The 18,197-nt window shown below is 37.2% G+C and overlaps 1 protein-coding gene and 1 long non-coding RNA gene across 6 annotated transcripts in view, besides 1 other annotated feature; one reads left to right on the top strand and one right to left on the bottom strand.

The window, feature by feature from the left end:
- The window catches only part of TMEM209 (transmembrane protein 209), a 40,694-nt gene that overhangs the window by 960 nt on the left and 21,537 nt on the right, over positions 1-18,197 (top strand). For all 4 annotated transcript variants that reach the window (NR_156699.2, NM_001301163.2, NM_032842.4 and 1 more), the window contains exons 2-6: positions 337-473; positions 601-659; positions 1,784-1,915; positions 2,356-2,597; positions 11,624-11,825. Coding sequence is in view for 3 of the 4 variants with exons in the window: in NM_001301163.2 (NP_001288092.1) it covers positions 337-473; positions 601-659; positions 1,784-1,915; positions 2,356-2,597; positions 11,624-11,825 (772 nt within the window). In the remaining variant the exon portion in view is untranslated. The remainder of the gene's footprint in view (positions 1-336; positions 474-600; positions 660-1,783; positions 1,916-2,355; positions 2,598-11,623; positions 11,826-18,197) is intronic.
- Positions 264-558: a silencer, noted in NCBI's record as "tiled region #12451; HepG2 Repressive non-DNase unmatched - State 3:PromF". NCBI's record gives its function as "represses a minimal TATA promoter and a strong SV40 promoter by Sharpr-MPRA in HepG2 cells {active_cell/tissue: HepG2}" and the evidence as "EXISTENCE:reporter gene assay evidence [ECO:0000049][PMID:27701403]".
- On the bottom strand, positions 4,151-12,367 carry LOC124901745 (uncharacterized). 2 transcript variants are annotated; one of them, XR_007060522.1, is made up of 3 exons: positions 12,135-12,367; positions 4,492-4,603; positions 4,151-4,260 (listed from the first exon to the last, which is right to left on the bottom strand). It is a non-coding gene; the product is annotated as an uncharacterized LOC124901745 (long non-coding RNA). The 2 variants fall into 2 exon arrangements; XR_007060521.1 differs by having other exon boundaries at positions 4,151-4,603.

The following is an 18,197-nucleotide window of genomic DNA, read 5'->3' as shown; positions in this document are numbered from 1 at the left end:
TCGCTTGAACCCGGGAGGCGGAGGTTGCAGTGAGTCGAGATCGCGCCACTGCATTCTAGCCTGGGAGACAGCAAGACTCCGTCTCAAAACAAATAAATAGATAAATAACCAGCCACTTCTCTGTTGATTACACTGTGATGCCAATTAAGTTACATATAATTTTGGGTTCCCTTTTCATATACTGATATTAAAATGGAAGAAGTTTTGATAAAACATTTTAAAGATGAGAGAAGGTATATGCGGTTTCAGTTACCTTTATAAGGGATGCAAAATTTGGTTTTTAAATGGAGCAATAGTTTCTTCTGGTTAATTCCTGTGCTTTTTGTTTTTTCATAGATGCAGGGGGAGGCACACCCTAGTGCTTCCCTTATTGACAGAACCATCAAGATGAGAAAAGAAACAGAGGCTAGGAAAGTGGTCTTAGCCTGGGGACTCCTAAATGTATCTATGGCTGGAATGATATATACTGAAATGTAAGTGAATCAGTCCAAAAAAAGTGAAACTTTAAGAAGCCAGTGGCTGGTTCCACAGGTTTTTGTGTTTGTTTTTGATTTTTGGTGTTTTTAGGTTCACTGGAAAGCCTTTCTAATTTTTTTTCAGGACTGGAAAATTGATTAGTTCATACTACAATGTGACATACTGGCCCCTCTGGTATATTGGTAAGTAAGTAATTTTCACTGTAACTTACATTTACCAATAAAAAACTGCCTTCAGGTTTAATTCAGCTTAGTATACATTTCCTTATTCAACAAGTATTTGACTGCCTGCTGGGTTGTAAAAACTGGGAATACAGCAGAAAGGGAGCAAGGTAAATCCCTGCTATTATGAAAGGAACATTCTGTTAGACAATCAGATTAATAACACTTCAGGTAATTATGAGTTCTGTGAAGAAAAATAAGTTTAGAGGTTAGTGAGATTTGTTTTTATTACTCTCCTGAAATGCGCTTTCTGTGTCTCTACCTTTTTACTTTTCAAGACCAGCCCAGATTTCTGCTCCATTGATGCCTTCCTCAGTTTTCACATTCTTTCCTCTCTTCTTGTCTGCTCTTCCATAGTCATTGGGTATAAAGAGTCTTTATGGATGTTAAAGTAAATTTCATAGTCTATACACATTAAAGTCTTTCACAGGGAGATAGTGTGCCAAGTTGGGAGAGCAAGGGATTTGCAATCAGCAGACCTCAGTTAGAATCATGGCTTCACTAACTAACTCTCTACTCTTGTAAGAGTCACTTGGCTTCTGAATAATGTTGGTTTATATTTAAAATGAAGGTGAAAATATTTATTGTACAGGGTTGCTAGGATTAGTGCTATTTTGAAACTCACTAGTAAATTACCTACACATAATTTTTTTTTTTTTTGAGAAGGAGTCTCACTCTGTCACCCAGGCTGGAGTACAGTGGCACAATCTCAGCTCACTGCAACCTCCACCTCCCAGGTTCAAGCAATTCTCCTGCCTCAGCCTCCCAAGTAGCTGAGACTACAGGTGTGCGTCACCACACCTGGCTAATTTTTATATTTTTAGTAGAGATGGGGTTTCACTATGTTGGCCAGGCTGGTCTCAAACTCCCGACCTCAGGTGATCCACTCGCCTCAGCCTCCCAGAGTGCTGCAATTATGGGTGTGAGCCACCATGCCCAGCCACCCTACACATAACATTCATTAAATTATAGTTTTTATGAGGAATAAGAAGGTAATTTTAGTTTGCTAAGTATAGAGGGTTTTTGTGTTCTCCAATAGATGCCCTCCTCACCCCCCTTATTAAAAAAAAATTGTTCTCTTCCAGAGCTTGCCCTTGCATCTCTCTTCAGCCTTAATGCCTTATTTGATTTTTGGAGATATTTCAAATATACTGTGGCACCAACAAGTCTGGTTGTTAGTCCTGGACAGCAAACACTTTTAGGGTTGAAAACAGCTGGTGAGTGTTTTATATCTCTTGCAAAGGTGGGGAAAAGGTTGGCAATAAATCTTTCTCAGTTTAATTTTCCCATTTCGTAGACTCAAAGCTGGAAGGGACATCAGCTATCTTAAGCAGGATACAATAAATTGTCTTATGACCAATGATTATCATTCCTACTTGTATACATTCAGCTATTTCATGGAAGTTTGTTCCATTGTTCAGGTGCAATTAAAATTAAATGACTAACTTGCTGAGTTGAAACCAGTTTCTAATTTTGCACTCTGGAAATGGTAAACACGTAATTTGTGTCCTTTGGTAATAATACATTCTGTGATTTAACAACCAAGTAACTCTGTTAACTTTTTTCCCTTAAGAGAAAGACTTAGTTGCTTAAATATATTTTCGTATAATTTTATTTGAAGGTACATACACATATGTTGCTTTTTTTTTCCTTCTAGTTGTACAGACTACGCCTCCACATGATCTGGCAGCAACCCAAATCCCTCCCGCTCCACCTTCCCCTTCAATTCAGGGTCAGAGTGTGTTGAGTTATAGCCCTTCTCGTTCGCCCAGTACCAGTCCCAAGTTCACCACCAGCTGTATGACTGGTTACAGCCCTCAGCTGCAAGGTCTGTCCTCAGGTGGCAGTGGTTCTTATAGCCCTGGAGTGACCTACTCGCCCGTCAGTGGTTATAATAAGGTAATGACTCTCTTCTCTTGTCTAGTCACATTATTTTAGAATTGAGAGGTATACTAAAAATCATCTAATGAGTCAAAACTTATCAGTGAGCAAACTGAGAGTTGATTTGCCCAGAACACCCATTTAAAAACCGAGAATAGAACATAATATCTTAAACACAACATCTTAAAATGAAAGAGAAAAAATTAGCATTTACAGAGATAACAAACTTAGTGCACCATCTACGATCTTTCAGCTGTCTTTAAAACAAGTTGAAACAAGGATAATTTTTTACTTTAGTTGCTTTTACTCCTGTTTTCCCTCTTGCTTTCCTTCTTCATGTGAGGCCTTTGTATACCTTTTTAGAGTTTTAGTGTGGTTTATCATGTTGGAGTGTCTTCTAAGCTAAAAGCTGAGATTGTCACATAGTTTCTTTTTTTTTTCCAATGAGTACAAATGATTCTTGAATATGGACGCTTTCCATGGAATAGTAGGAACCTTCATTTCCACTCCCACAGTAATGTGAAATTTTGTTCTAATTTTTAGGATTAATAGAAACAGGATTGACAAATTGAAATTTTGACTCCTTCTTGAAGCATAAAACTATTAATATAAGGGGGCGTTGAAAGAAGAGTGGTCATTTCAGATGCTGTCGCTACTGTGTTCGACTAACATCTCTGTAGCTGCTAGTTAAAAGAGGAGTCTCTGGAGATGAAACTGACACATTGTCTGCCCTTATCCATTTACATATTTCTTTTTTTTTTTTTTTTTTTTTTTTTTTTGAGACAGAGTCTCGCTCTGTTGCCTAGACTGGAGTGCAGTGGCGTGATCTCAGCTCACTGCAAACTCCGCCTCCCGGGCTCATGCCATTCTCCTGCCTCAGCCTCCCGAGTAGCTGGGACTACAGGCGTCCACCACCGTGCCCGGCTAATTTTTTGTACTTTCAGTAGAGACGGGGTTTCGCCATGTTAGCCAGGATGGTCTCGATCTCCTGACCTTGCGATCTGCCCTCCTCGACCTCCCAAACATTTACACATTTCTTTGTAATGAAATTCCATACTACTGGTTATCCAATATTAAAATTAATTTTGGCAGGTAATAGAATTTTGAAAATTTTGTACAAGTTAAATTTTTATGAGAAAGTATATATGTAGTGAAAATTAATAACTCATAGGTAAATGTGACTTTTAAAAATAATTTTTCACAAGATGATACTATATGATCCTTATAGAAAATTGGAAAAGTAAAACAGAAGGAAAATTATTATAGTCCTGCCACACAAAAATAATCTGTTTAATGGCTATTTAATACTCATCTAATGGATATACCATAATTTACTCTTGAATGTTTAAGTCATTTTCATTTATAAAAAAACTTTTTAATGTATACTAAATAGCCCTGTACATAAAATTATTGATAAATTTGGGATGGGAGTGTCGATCCAAAAGAATTGTACCAATTTACATTGTCACAGAAATGTAGAAGAGTGTTTGTTTTACCACACTGTTGACCATCAAGTTAATTTTTTAAAAAAATAAATCTCTGCTAATAAGAAACATGACAATAGTCTATCGTAACTTTTAACATACATTTATTTCAAAGCCGCATAGCTAAATCAGGAAGTTCTCGTGCTTTACTCGCTTGTCTTTTGGGTCTGTATCCTCTGATTTTTTTTCTTGGGTTGCTGTTTAATTATAGAGTTTAATATATATATATATAGAGAGAGAGAAACTTTAAATGTTTAATAGTCCTATCTGTTTATCTCCTTGTGGTTTGCTCTGTTTTTAAATTTAGAAATTTTCTTACTTTCAGAATTGATTCCCCTCCCCACCATAATATAAGATGATAATTTTCTCATTTTTGTTTTTTGCTAAAATTGATAACTAGTTGTCCCAATATTATAAATTATTTTTACCTTGATTGACTTGGAGCCTCCTTTGAATTACATGTGATTTGTCTTTTTCGGGGTGATTCTGTTCACTTGCTGTGTTTTTAGTGCTGTGTGTAGCAGTTTCATTGTGGACTGACTGTTAGAAGAGTTAACAAAAAATGTTAAATACTATTGCATTTTTGCTTCAAAAACAGATAAATCATAGCTTATGTTCTATTTGTACAAAAGAAGTGACACCACCAAAATATAATTTTTATTTTTAAAGAAATAATTTTTTTCTTATGTTAACTCTCCCTTTGTACCCACTCTTTTCCAGTCATTTCTTCTGCCTTGTACATCTTTGTATTTATAAGTTAGAGGGAAAAAATAATGAGTTGAGTTTTTTTTACCTTAGTAATCTTTCTTTTTTTAAAATCTTAAAAGATATGTCAGGAAATTATCAAAAGAAAGTAAAGGTGACGGCTGGGCGCAGCGGGTCACGCCTGTAATCCCAGCACTTTGGGAGGCCGAGGCAGGCGGGTCACAAGGTCAGGAGATCAAGACCATCCTGGCTAACATGTTGAAACCCTGTCTCTACTAAACAAAATACAAAAAATTAGCCAGGTGTGGTGGCGGGCGCCTGTAGTCGCAGCTACTCGGGAGGCTGAGGCAGGAGAATGGCGTGAACCAGGAAGGCGGAGCTTTCAGTGAGCCGAGATGGCTCGCTGCACTCCAGCCTGGGCGACACAGCAAGACTCTGTCTCAAAAAAAAAATAAAAAAATTAAAAAGGTGACAAAGGCATATCAGGAAAGCATAAAAATAAGGTGGTAGTATTAACAATGAATAACTTTAGAGGAGGAAGAATTATATGAGACAAAAGGTCATTTTAAGTTGATGGAAGAAATAATAAAATAATAGTTAGATTCACAATCCCTGTATATTGAATAATACAGCATCATAAAATGTAAAACAAAAACCTTTAGAAACATGAAATCAATAAACACAATTGTATTGGAAGACTTTAGCATTATCAATGTCTGATAAAGTAGGCAACAAATAAGGACACAAAAGATTGGAACAGTAAAATTTAATAAGACAACCTCCATAAGAATACTATTGAATATTGTACCTTTCTATTTGAGATGTTCATGAAATTGTACACATTGTATTTTCTGACCAAAACAAAAATAAAACTAGAAATTAAAAATAAAGGTTTGAAAAACACCACTAAAATGTTTAAAAATACTCACCAAAATATTAGGTTAAATTAAAATTAGGAAAACAAGAATGCTTCAGTATCAGAATTTATGAATATAGTAAAAGCTATTTGCAGTGGTAAATTCTTAACCTTAAATGGTTTCATTTTTGTTTTTTGGGGGGGTTTTTTTGAGACAGAGTTTCACTCTTATCACCCAGGCTGGAGTGCAGTGGTGTGATCTCGGCTCACTGCAGCGTCTGCCTCCCGGGTTGAAGGGATTCTCCTGCCTTAGCCTCCTGAGCAGCTATGATTATAGGGGCCCACCAGCATGCCCAGCTAATTTTTTTATTTTTAGTAGAGACGGGGTTTCACCATGTTGGCCAGGCTGGTCTCCAACTCTTGACCTCGAGTGATCCGCCCACCTCAGCCTCCCAAAGTGCTGGGATTACAGGCATGAGCCACCTCGCCCTACCCATTTTTGTTTTAAAAAATAAAAATAGATGTACCCAGAATTCAGGTCAAAGTTAGGAGAGTACAACAAGGAGGATACAGAAAAAATGATAGGTGTATGGTACAACATGGATGAGTCCTGAAAACACTATGCTAATGAAAGAAACCAGTCACAAAAGACCACATATTATATGATTCTAGTTACATGAAATGTTCAGAATGGGCAAATCTATAAAGACAGGAAGATTAGTGGTTATCTAAAGTTGGGGTGGGAAGGAAGGAGAAAAGGGGATTGATTTTAGTGGAAGAACAAGAATGTTCTGAAATTGATTGTGATGGCTGTATAATCCTGTGAATATACTAAAACATTGAGTTGTGCACTTTACATGAGTGAATTGTGTGGTATGTGAATTTATATCTCAATAAAGCTATTTTTAAAATGATAAAAGCAAATGTTAATGAACTGTTATCTAAGAGCTTTTTTCTGTGTGCATGGGAAATCCCATAAAATAGACAAATCTGTCAAATCAGCAGAGCAAATAAGACATAGACTTAAGGAGAAATTGAAATGGAAGATTTAGAAAAGGATACAGAGAAGTGTAAACCAAAATGAATATTTTTACATTTTATGGTAAGAGCAGAGAATAGCTATTACCATAATGTTTCATGTGTCTGTGTTGTTACTGATCTTTTTAAGTTATTCTGTCTGCTGAAAACACTCTTAATATCATCCTTTGTTTAATGATGATAAAACATACCATTTTTAAGTGCATAGTTCAGTAGCATTAAATGCATTCAAATTGTGCAGCTGTCACCATCATCCGTCTCTAGAACTTATCATCTCCCCACTGAAACAATGTGCCTACTGAACAATTAACTCTCTTTTTCCACCCCCTAAGTCTCTGGCAACCACTGTTCTGTCTCTGAATTTGATACTGTAAGTACATCATGTAAGTGGAATCATACAGTATTTGTCCTTTAACTGGCCTATTTCACTAGCGTAATGTCCTCAGAGTTCATCCATGTTGCAGCATGTGTTATAATTCCCTTCCTTTTTAAGGCTGAATAATATTCCATTGTATGTATACACCACATTTTGTTTATCCACTCATATGTTGATGGCTTCCACCTTTTGGCTTTTGGGAATAGCGAATGCTGCAGTGTACATGGCTGTACAGCTTATCTGTTTGAGTCCCTGCTTTCAGTTCTGGGTATATATCAAGAAGTAGAGTTTATGTATCAATTTTTAATTTTTTGAGGAAACACTGTGTGGTGTTTGTTTGTTTTGGTAGAGATGGGGTCTTGCTATGTTGCCTGGGTTGGTCTCAAACTTCTAGACTCAAGCAATCTTCCTGCCTCAGCCTCCCAAAGTGCTGGGATTACAGGCATGAGCCACCACACCTGGCCCCATACCATGGTTTGTAGCCACTATGCCATCTTACATTCCCACCTTAGAATATTTGCATAATGATATACCAAACGAAGCATAGTATTTTAAAATAATTGCTTGTATTAGTCTGCTTGGGCTGCCATTAAAAAATGCCACAGGCTTTGTGGCCTGACAGAAATTATTTTCTCATAGTTCTGAATGCTAGAAGTCTAAGATCAAGGTCCCTGCTAGTTTGGTTTCTGGTAAGGGCTCTTTGTAGTTTACGGACAGCCACTTTGCCCTGCCATGGCCTTTCTGGTATCTCTTCATATGGCACTGAGCCTGTCAGAACAAGGCCCCACTCCAATGACCTCACTTAGGTTAATTACCCCTTTACTTCAAAAACAGCCACATTGGGGGTTAGGGCTTCAACATATGAATTTGGGGAAGACACAGACATTCAGTCTATAATAATGTTCACTTTTTTCCCTCTAGACTGTAACCCTCTTGAGCACAGGATTATGTTTTTATTCATCTTTGTTTCCTTAGCACAATATATGGAATATAGATGCTACCTACATCAGTGTCTGTTGAACCAAACTAATAACTTAGAAAAGTTAATGAAATACATTACTTTTCTTGGAAAAAAAAAAAAAGCCAAAAATTGGCTAAGAAGTAGAAAACCAAAATGAGAGGGAAAATTTAAAAACAATATATCGAATACATCCCCAGAAGACTGTAGGGCCCTTAAGTTTTATTATTGAGTTCTTTTAAACTTTGAAGAAACAGTTACTTTATAGACTTTTTATTATGGAAAATCTCAAACTCACAAAAGTGAAGAGACCAGTTTTAATATAGTAAACTCCTGTGTATCTTTTACCCATCTTCTAAAAGTTATTAATATTTTGCTGGGGTATGAACAGCTAATTCTAATCCAGTAAAACAACATGTTAACATAAACTTGAGTTAGAAAACAGGATTGAAATCCTGGTGTGATCTTCAGCAAGTTACCTAAACTCATAAGGCGAATATAGTAATCATATGTACCTGTTATTGAAAAGATAAAATAAGACAATGTATATATTAAGTGTAATTAGCACATTGCCTAACATATATAATGACTGCCTAAATACTTGGTATTCAATATGAATTATTACCAAATGCAGAAAAGATGAGAACACCACTACCTATTTCACTTTACAGAATGTAATAAAACTTAAAGCACAAAATAGTTCTCCCTGGGATCTGTAAAAAACAAACCGAAAAAACATAAAAACAAATAGGACAATGTGAAAGTTGTAAATTAAATAATGGTTTGAATTCACAGAAATTAACAACTTTTTTTTTTTTTCCAAATAACTTTTAAGGAATAATTGATGACCAGGTAAAATTTATCCTAACAATGCAAGAATTCTATTAATACATTATATTCAAGAGTTCATTTAAAACCTAAAGTTCGAAAAGCTGTTTCCTAAAAACATCCATTTTAATATTAAAAACTTTGGTTAAGTGGCTGGATACACAGTAAATATCCAAAATCAATAGCTTACAGTCATATATATGCCAGCATTATTCAATTAGATCCAATAGGAGTTTCAAAATTCCTTTCATAATTGATTAAAAAACATAAGATTCCAAGATTGAGCTTTAGAAGTAAAGTGGGGCCAAAATATTGCCAAGAAATAATAAGAGATGCTAGATGAAGAGGGATGAAATGTTCTTGGATAAAAAGATACTGTTATAAAGATTTTCTCCCTACATGCTAATGTATAAGGTGTATGCAATTCTAATCAGTCCCAGTCTACCATTTTTAAAGAATAGATTTATGCAAGTTACTCATTGATTTTAAAGTTAATAAAGAAAAACAAATGAGCCAAGAAAATTTTGAGTAACAGGATACTTCCCCATAGACATTAAAACTTAATAAGTAAAATATTATGGCCCGTAAGCAAAAATAGGCCAATTAATGCAATAATAGCCCAGATATAGTGTATATAATTATGTAATATGTTAATTTTAAAAATAAAAGAGAAATCTGTGTGGAAGAGGATTAACCTTTTTATTTTCAAACAGCATTTAACAATTACAAGACTGGTTAATCTTTAACTTATTGCAAACTAATACGAAGTGATAATAAGACCCCAATAGAAAAATATTATAAATGTACTTGAGTAAACATTTAAATAAAATAAGTAATCCAAGTGACCAGTAATTGTATTTTTTAAGTGTTCAATGTCATAAATATAGGGAAATGCAAATTAAATGTCCAATTTTTAAAATTCTTGTATATCAAGTAAATGTTAATATGCTTTCACCAAATAATTTCAGTTTTAGGCATCTGTTAAAGAAGCCATCAGAAATTCAGTCAAAGATTTATGTACAGCTATCTTCATTGTAACATTGACAAAGCTATGTATATTTTAGAGATTTTAAAATACATAAAATATGAAAAAGGATTATATTATCTCTGGGTGGCAAAGTTACAGATGTTTATACTTTCTATTTTTAAAAATATGCATGTGTTACTTGTTTTTTTAAGAGATAGGGTCTTGCTCTTTATCACCCAGGCTGGAATGCAGTGGCACAGTCGTGGCTCACCATAGCCTCTAACTCCTGGGCTCCATGAGTTACCTTTTTTTTTTTTGATGGACTTTATTTTTTAGAGCAGTTTTGAGTTCACAGCAAAATCAAGAGATCTCATGTACATCCCCTGTCCTAACATGCATAGCCTCCCCCATGATCAGTATACCCCCTCACAGTGGTATATTTCTTTTTTTTTTTTTTGAGACGGAGTCTCGCTCTGTCACCCAGGCTGGAGTGCGGTGGTGCAATCTCGGCTCACTGCAAGCTCCGCCTCCCGGATTCCTGCCATTCTCCTGCCTCAGCCTCCCGAGTAGCTGGGACTACAGGTGCCCGCCACCACACCCAGCTAATTTTTTTGTACTTTTAGTAGAGACGGGGTTTCACCATGTTAGCCAGGATGGTCTCGATCTCCTGACCCCGTGATTCGCCCACCTAGACCTCCCAAAGTGCTGGGACTACAAGCGTGAGTCACCGCACCCGGCCTCACAGTGGTTTATTTCTTACAGCTGATGAACCTGCATTGACACGTCATTATCACCCAAAGTGCATAGTTTACATTAGGGTTCACTCTTGGTGTTGTACGTTCTATGGGTTTGGACAAATGTGTAATGACATGTTCACAATTATAGTATCATACAGAATGAAACTGCACCATTTATTCATTCATCTTTTCCTCCAAATTCCTGTTAACCAGTGTTTTTTTTTAATTGCCGCCATAGTTTTGCCTTTTCTAGAACGTCATGTACTTAGAATCATACCCGTGTAGCTTTTCGGATTGGCTTCTTTCACTTAACAATATGCATTTAAGATTGCTTTATGTCTTTTCGTAGCTTGATAGCTCACTTTTTTTTTTTTCTTTTGAGATGGAGTTTCGCTTTTATTGTCCAGGCTGGAGTGCAGTCGCGCGATCTTGGCTCGCCACAACCTCCGCCTCCCGGGGTTTAAGCGATTCTCCTGCCTCAGCCTCCCGAGTAGCTGGGATTATAGGCATGCACCACCACGCCCAGCTAATTTTGTATTTTAAGTAGACACAGGGTTTCTCCATGTTGGTCAGGCTGGTCACCGACCTCAGGTGATCCGCCCACCTCAGCCTCCAAAAGTGCTGGGATTATAGGTGTGAGCCACCGTGCCCAGCAATAGCTCACTTCTTTTTAGTGCTAATACTCCATTACCTAATTTTGCCAGTTTATTTACTCGTTCACCTACTGAAGGGCATCTTGGTTGCTTTCAAGTTTTGGCCATTAGGAATAAAGCTGCCATAAACATACAGGTTTGTGTGTGGCCGTAAGTTTTCAACTCCTTGGGTAATACTAAGGAGCACAATTACTAGTTCGTATGGTAAGATAATATTTACTTTTGTAAGAAACAGCCAGACTGTTTCAAAGTGGCTGTATCATTTTGCATTCCCACCAGCAAAGAATGAGAGATTCTGTTGTTCCACAACCTCATCAGCGTTTGATGTTGTCAGTATTGTGGATTTTCGCCATTCTACTAGGTGTTTTACTTAAGTCAAAAACCAAAACAAAATGAATTTCAATTAAAGAAAAATAAAGTAAAGATCTTTTATTTTGTATAGTTGGCGAGCTTTAGCCCCTCTCCTCCTTCTCCGTACCCTACCACTGTTGGACCAGTGGAGAGCAGTGGATTGAGATCTCGCTACCGTTCTTCACCTACCGTCTACAACTCACCTACTGACAAAGAAGACTACATGACCGACCTACGAACTTTGGATACTTTTCTCAGAAGTGAAGAGGAGAAACAGCATAGGGTTAAGCTGGGTACATATATATTTCTGTATATCTACTATACATATTTTTGGTGTCAATCCTTAACCTACTATTTTCATTATTTTAATATCCATACTAACATACTTTATTAGCTTAGCATGTTTTGTTTTACTTTATATGTAACATTATTTTATGCAGTTAGAATTAAGTTCACTAAATTTAGGAAGTGAAATATAGCTAAACTAAGAAATCTCAAACCTACAATAAGATTGAAAGCTTTTTCGTATAATGTAAGTTACAATTTCTATTTAAAGTTGAGGCTACAAAATAATGTTTTGAAGCAGTGCGTAGTGAACTTACTCAAATTATAGCTGTCTCTTTTCAAGTAGTCTTTTGGAAGGTTGGTGTGGCAGAGCAGGCTGAAAGAGAGAACATGTATTTACTCGAGAAGCGCTGCTGTTTTTCATAACATTTTAAAACTTGCGTTTTAGTATTTCCTGAAAGCCTATAGTTTACCTTGGGAAAGAGTGTTAGCAAATCTTAATCTGTTTGGGGTGAATTTGATTATTACAGAGTCAATTATTTGAAACCAAATTAGGTTATTGAACTGAGTAATGATTTTTCCCCCGTCAGGAACTTTCACGAAAGCATATTAGGCGCTAATACTCAGCTGTGGCGAGGAAGCCGGTTATTGGACCATGACTCTTTGTGTCGCTTGGAGTCTCACCAGTGATTTCTAATTTCATTTTGCCTGAAAGTGCCACAGATGTTACAGAAACCAGTCAATACTATCTTCTTATTTTTGATACATGCTTTTTGAAAAAAATTTGAAATATTTTGAGTCTACTGAAACTTTAATACAGAGTATAATACAAAGAACCTATGTATCCTTGGCACATCTTTGTAATACCCAGATATTTTCTGACTTCACTTTTATTCTTTATCCCAGTAGGAGCTATTTAGAAGTAATATTATTATTGTTTGGAAGTGTTATTGGTGTTGCTTTTAATTTTCAAGCCTGAAAAGGCTTGGTTACCTTTTTTTTCTCCTAAGTTAATTTTACTGTGGTTAGAGAATCTGATCTGTACCTATCAATTTTGTGTTTGTTTGTTTGAGACTTGCTTTTAGGTCTACTATGTGATCACTTTTCTGTAAATGGCTTTGGTATATTGAACAGAATGCAGAGTCTCTAAATTTGGGGCTCTATATTTGTTCACTGTCACACTTCTTGATGGTATTCTTAAATACTTTATCTTACTAATTTTTATCTGCTTTATCTATTGGTTATTAAGAAAGTGTGCCAAAAGCTCCCGTTGATTGTCTTCCATTAAATGTTTTCTTGCAATTCTGTCAGATTTGCTAAGTATACATACGAGATTACGTTAAATGCATGTAAATTCAGAATTGTGAATATCATTCTGGTGAATTATGCCACTTATCTTTATCTCTTAGGCTTTTTGCCTTAAAGTCTATTTTGTCTGACATTGACACATCTATATTAATTTCCTTTTGGTTAGTATCTGGCTGGTATATCTATCTCTATCCCTATACTTTTAGCCCTTCTATACCCATGGGTTTTCGAAAATTAAGTATTTTGTGCAAATTAATAAATGATTAATAAGTATTTTGTGGGAAGCTACTGATCTAAAACTATATAGTTATTTGGTCCCCATCAAACTTTTTTTTTTTTTTTGAGACTAGGTCTCACTGTTGCAGTGGTGCAGTCTTGGCTCGCTGCAGCCTTGAATTCAGCGCTCAGGTGCCTCTCCCACCTCAGCCTCCTGAGTAGCTGGGACTACAGATGCATGCCACCATGCCATGCTAATTTTTGTGTTTTTAGTAGAGACCGGGTTTTGCCATGTTGCCCAGGCTGGTCTCGAACTCCTGAGCTCACACAATCCACCCACTTTGGCCTCCAAAAGTGCTGGGATTATAGGCGTAAGCCATTGTGCCTGACCCCATCAAACTTTGACTTACTAGTTCTAACATCCTTTTAAGATTATTTTCAAAATTATTACTATGTTGGTTGTCATGGAGCTTTCCAATTTCATCATTTCTTCTATGTTTATTCCTTTAACATTTTTCCTTTTTTTTTTTTACTGTAATACAGTATACATAAAATTTACAATATTAGCCTTTTTTTTTTCTTTTTTTGAGATGGAGTCTTGGCTCTGTCGCCCAGGCTGGAGTGCAGTGGTGCGATCTCGGCTTACTGCAACTTCTGCCTCCCAGGTTCAAGCGATTCTCCTGCCTCAGCTTTCCAAGTAGCTAGGATTACAGGCATCTGCCACCATGCCTGGCTAATTTTTGTATTTTTAGTAGAGACAGGGTTTCCCCTTGTTGGCCAGGCTGGTCTCAAACTCCTGACCTCAGGTGATCTGCCCGCCTCGGCCTCCAAAGTGCTGGGAATTACAGCCGTGAGCCACCGCGCCTGGCCCAATATTAGCCATTTGAAGTGTTTAATTAAGTGGTGGTAAGTACATTTACATTATTGTGCAGCTGCCTTTTACATTTATTTGTTGGTATTCTGTAAGATAAAGGTTTCTTCTCCCTAATCATTCACTTATGTTGACGATTTGATTGTCTCAGATTGGGCTAGTGGGATCCTCTGTAAGCTGACTTCTCTGTTCTTTTGACATGACACTATCATTCTTTGAGCTAATCCCCCTGCCCGCGCCACCTTTCTAGCACCACAAAATAGGTCAGGCTCATTTTGTGTTTTCCCTGGCTAGCTCCAGAGTCAGTCTGTTTCTCTAAGAGCCCTGATTCCTTTTAATGGAGAATGATACTTAGAAATTATTATCTGGGCACTGGGCACACTGTTATTATTGAGGTATCATTACTCCAGGTCCTCTAGGAAATATTTGTATGGACATATACACAGATATATGTACACACACACATCTATATGTGTTATTCTATGTTTTTAAAAAACCATGAGTTTATAATGTTACTTCTAGTTCCAGTCCAGCTATACAGTTTATTCTGTCCTCCCCACTTTTCGTATTTGTAACTTTCTCCAGTAGTGAAAAACCAGGCCCTCATATTCTCTCTCTCATGCACACTTTTTTGCTGAATCATTTGAAAGGAAGTTGCGGGCATCATTCCACTTCATTCCTGAATATTTCACATGCATCTCCTAAGACCAAGACATCTTCCTTTATAACTACAATATGGGCTGGGCTCAGTGGCTCACGCTTGTAATCCCAGCACTTTGGGAGGCTGAGGCAGGTGGATCATGAGGTCAGGATTTTGAGACCAGGTCAGGATTTTCTGACCAACATGGTGAAACCCCACCTCTACTAAAAAATTAGCGAGGCTTGGTGACGCGAGCCTGTATCCCAGCCACTCTGGAGGCTGGGGCAGGAGAATCGCTTGAATCCGGGAGGCGGAGGTTGCAGTGAACCGAGATCACACCACTGCACTCCAGCCTGGGTGACAGAGTGAGACTCTGTCTCAAAGAAAAAATAAATAAATGAATAATGACAATATGATTGTCATGCTTAAGATACTATGGGTGTTCATATTCACATTTCCCCAGTTGACCCAATACTGACCCTTGTAGTGCTTTTTTTTTCTTTTATTGATGCAGGATCCAATCAGGTATCACATATTGCATTTACTTGTGCTTCTGTTGTCTCCTTAAATCGAAACCATTTGGATAGTGTGGGTTTTGTGGGATTTTTTGTTTTGTTTTCTTTTATGACATTTACATTTTGAAGAGATGAGGCTGTTGTTTTGAAAATTCAGATTTGTTTGATCATTTTGTTACTGTTAGATTCCGTTTAAATATTATTTTCTGGCAAGAATACAACATGGGTGGTGGCATGTCCTTTTCAGTGTATCACATCAGGAGATACGTGATGCTGCTTTGTCTCTTTGTCGGTAATATATAATAAAATAGGATCACTTGGTTAAGTTGATAGCAACTGGATTTCTTCATGATTTTCCCTTTATGTCCTGTTTCCTTAACAGCCTTTTACCCAGTGATTTTAGCATCTGTTGATGATCCTTGTCCTTGATAAAGTGGTGATTATAAAGTAGAGATTTTCTTTTTTTTTTTTTTTTTTTTTTTTTGATACGGAGTCTCACTCTGTCACCCCGGCTGGAGTGCAGTGGTGTGATCTCGGCTCGCTGCAAGCTCCGCCTCCCGGGTTCATGCCATTCTCCTGCTTCAGCCTCCCGAGTAGCTGGGACTACAGGTGCCTGCCACCACGCCTGGCTAATTTTTTGTATTTTTAGTAGAGACGGGGTTTCACCATGTTAGCCAGGATGGTCTCGATCTCCTGACCTTGTGATCCGCCCGCCTTGGCCTCCCAAAGTGCTGGGATTACAAGTGTGAGTCACTGCGCCTGGCCAAAGTGGAGATTTTCTAATTATTTATTTCTACACTTCATAGTTTGGCATTCTTCTCTAAAGAGGAGCATTCTGTTTTACCCCCACCCCAGCTTTTTTGGTTTAGTCACTGTGGACTCATCAGCTCTTTCTTTAGTAATGTCTAAACTGTTATTTAACTAATTCATTGAGTTTTTTAATTTCAGCCACTTGTTCTCATTTTATAGTTTTATTTGGTCCTTTTCAATTATGCCAGGTTTTTGTAGAATATTTTTTATTCTTATGTTTTCAGTTCCTTTTTCTATCTCAGTTGCTTAAACACACTTTTTAAATGTTATTTGTCCAATAGTTCAATTATCTAAAGTTCTTGGAGGTTAAATACTGACCATTTTTGTCTTGTTGGTTGTTAGGACTGCAGTCTTGTTTCCTTGTGATTGATGTAATTTCTGTTTGTTTCTGGTAAGCTTATCTTGGCTGGATGGAAGCCTTGTCTCTTCCTAGCTGTTTTGTATTTGCCTCTGTCAGGTGCCTTAGGAGTATTATTGACTTTGAGCTAACTTAAGTAATTTCTAAGCTTGGAGATTCCTGGACCTCACAGGTAATATAAATGGGCACTCTAAACCCATGTGAAGATATATCTATAATTTTTAAATCTCAGGGTGTTGTTTTTCTTTTTTTTTTTTTTTAAGTCTCCCAACAACCTATGACAGACAAGCTTTCATTATCTCCTGGTCCCATTGAACAGATTTTTTTCTTATCTACTCTGAATGTGGCCCTTTGAGATTCCTGGTCCTCTACCAGGACCAGGGACTAGGGGTAGGAGAAAGGTGTCAGCCCAACTCTCTGCCTCTTAAGGGCCCAAATCCTTATCTCCGTTTCCCACTTGGGCAATGAATCCAAGCTGATAGATTTCTCAAGGCCTACAAAATTCTCTAGAGCAGCCACGCCACAGCAGCCTCTTACAGGCTATTTAGATTTTTAATTCTCTTTTCATTTTTAACCACTGGCTATTCATAGCCTTACTTTTTTGCAAGCTCCATTATTCATCTTAATAATGTTGTTTTTTTTTTTGAGATCGAGGTTTTTTTTGTTTTTGAGATAGAGTCTAGCTCTGTTGCTCAGGCTGGAGTGCAGTGGGGTGATCTCGGCTCACTGAAACCTCCGCTTCCCGGGTTCAAGCAATTCTCCTGCCTTAGCCTCCTGAGTAGCTGGGATTACAGGCATGCACCACCATACCTGGCTAATTTTTGTATTTTTAGTAGAGACAGGGTTTCACCATGTTGGCCAGGCTTGTCTCGAGCTCCTGACCTCAAGTGATCTGCCCGCCTCGGCCTCCCAAAGTGCTGGGATTACAGGCGTGAGCCACCGCGCACTGGCCTAAAGAATGTATTTTATTTAATAAATGTTTTTAGATATTTATAGTGGGAGATGTTTTAGGTTGTCTGGTTTCCTGTGTTGCCCAGATTTCCAAATCTCCATGTGCTTTGACTCTTAGGTCTTTGAGGTTCTCCAGCTATAGATTGTGTGCTGTTGTTGTGGTGGTGGTGGTGGTGGTGATGGTGGTGTTCATCATGGAAAGGCCCTATTTTGTCATTACTTGCTATGTACATTTTTTCTTTGCTTTGACTAATGCCCAGAGGTACTAGAACTTCCTATTTCTATTCATTGTCTAAAGCCAGTCCTCAATGAAATTTTACTCAAATACAAGTTTTTTCATAGAAAACTTACGTTTCTTAAAGTTAATAATCGCAATGATTAATCAAATAGGATAACTTTATGCTCTGTTATGACCATGTTTTTACTTTCCATTTCTGTTCTCTATTTATTAAATCATTTATGTTGGTTGACAACTGCTTTTCTTGACATTAATTCATTCCTAAAGTCAGTTTTGCCAGAATTTCATACAGTGTGATGTTTCTTTACTGTATATAACTTTTTATGCCAGCATGAAACATTCACCAACGCTAACAAAACTAGCTAACCATCAAAATTTTGATGAATTATATTGCTACATACCCGTTTGATGATTCCTAATTCTTTGTACCCGTAAGCATAAGGAAAATGAGTTTTATTATTTTCTAGTCATTC

The sequence above is a fragment of the Homo sapiens genome, chromosome 7, assembly GCF_000001405.40.
Source record: "Homo sapiens chromosome 7, GRCh38.p14 Primary Assembly".
Classification (NCBI taxonomy): Eukaryota; Metazoa; Chordata; class Mammalia; order Primates; family Hominidae; genus Homo; species Homo sapiens.
This window is presented reverse-complemented; position numbering and strand designations above follow the sequence as displayed.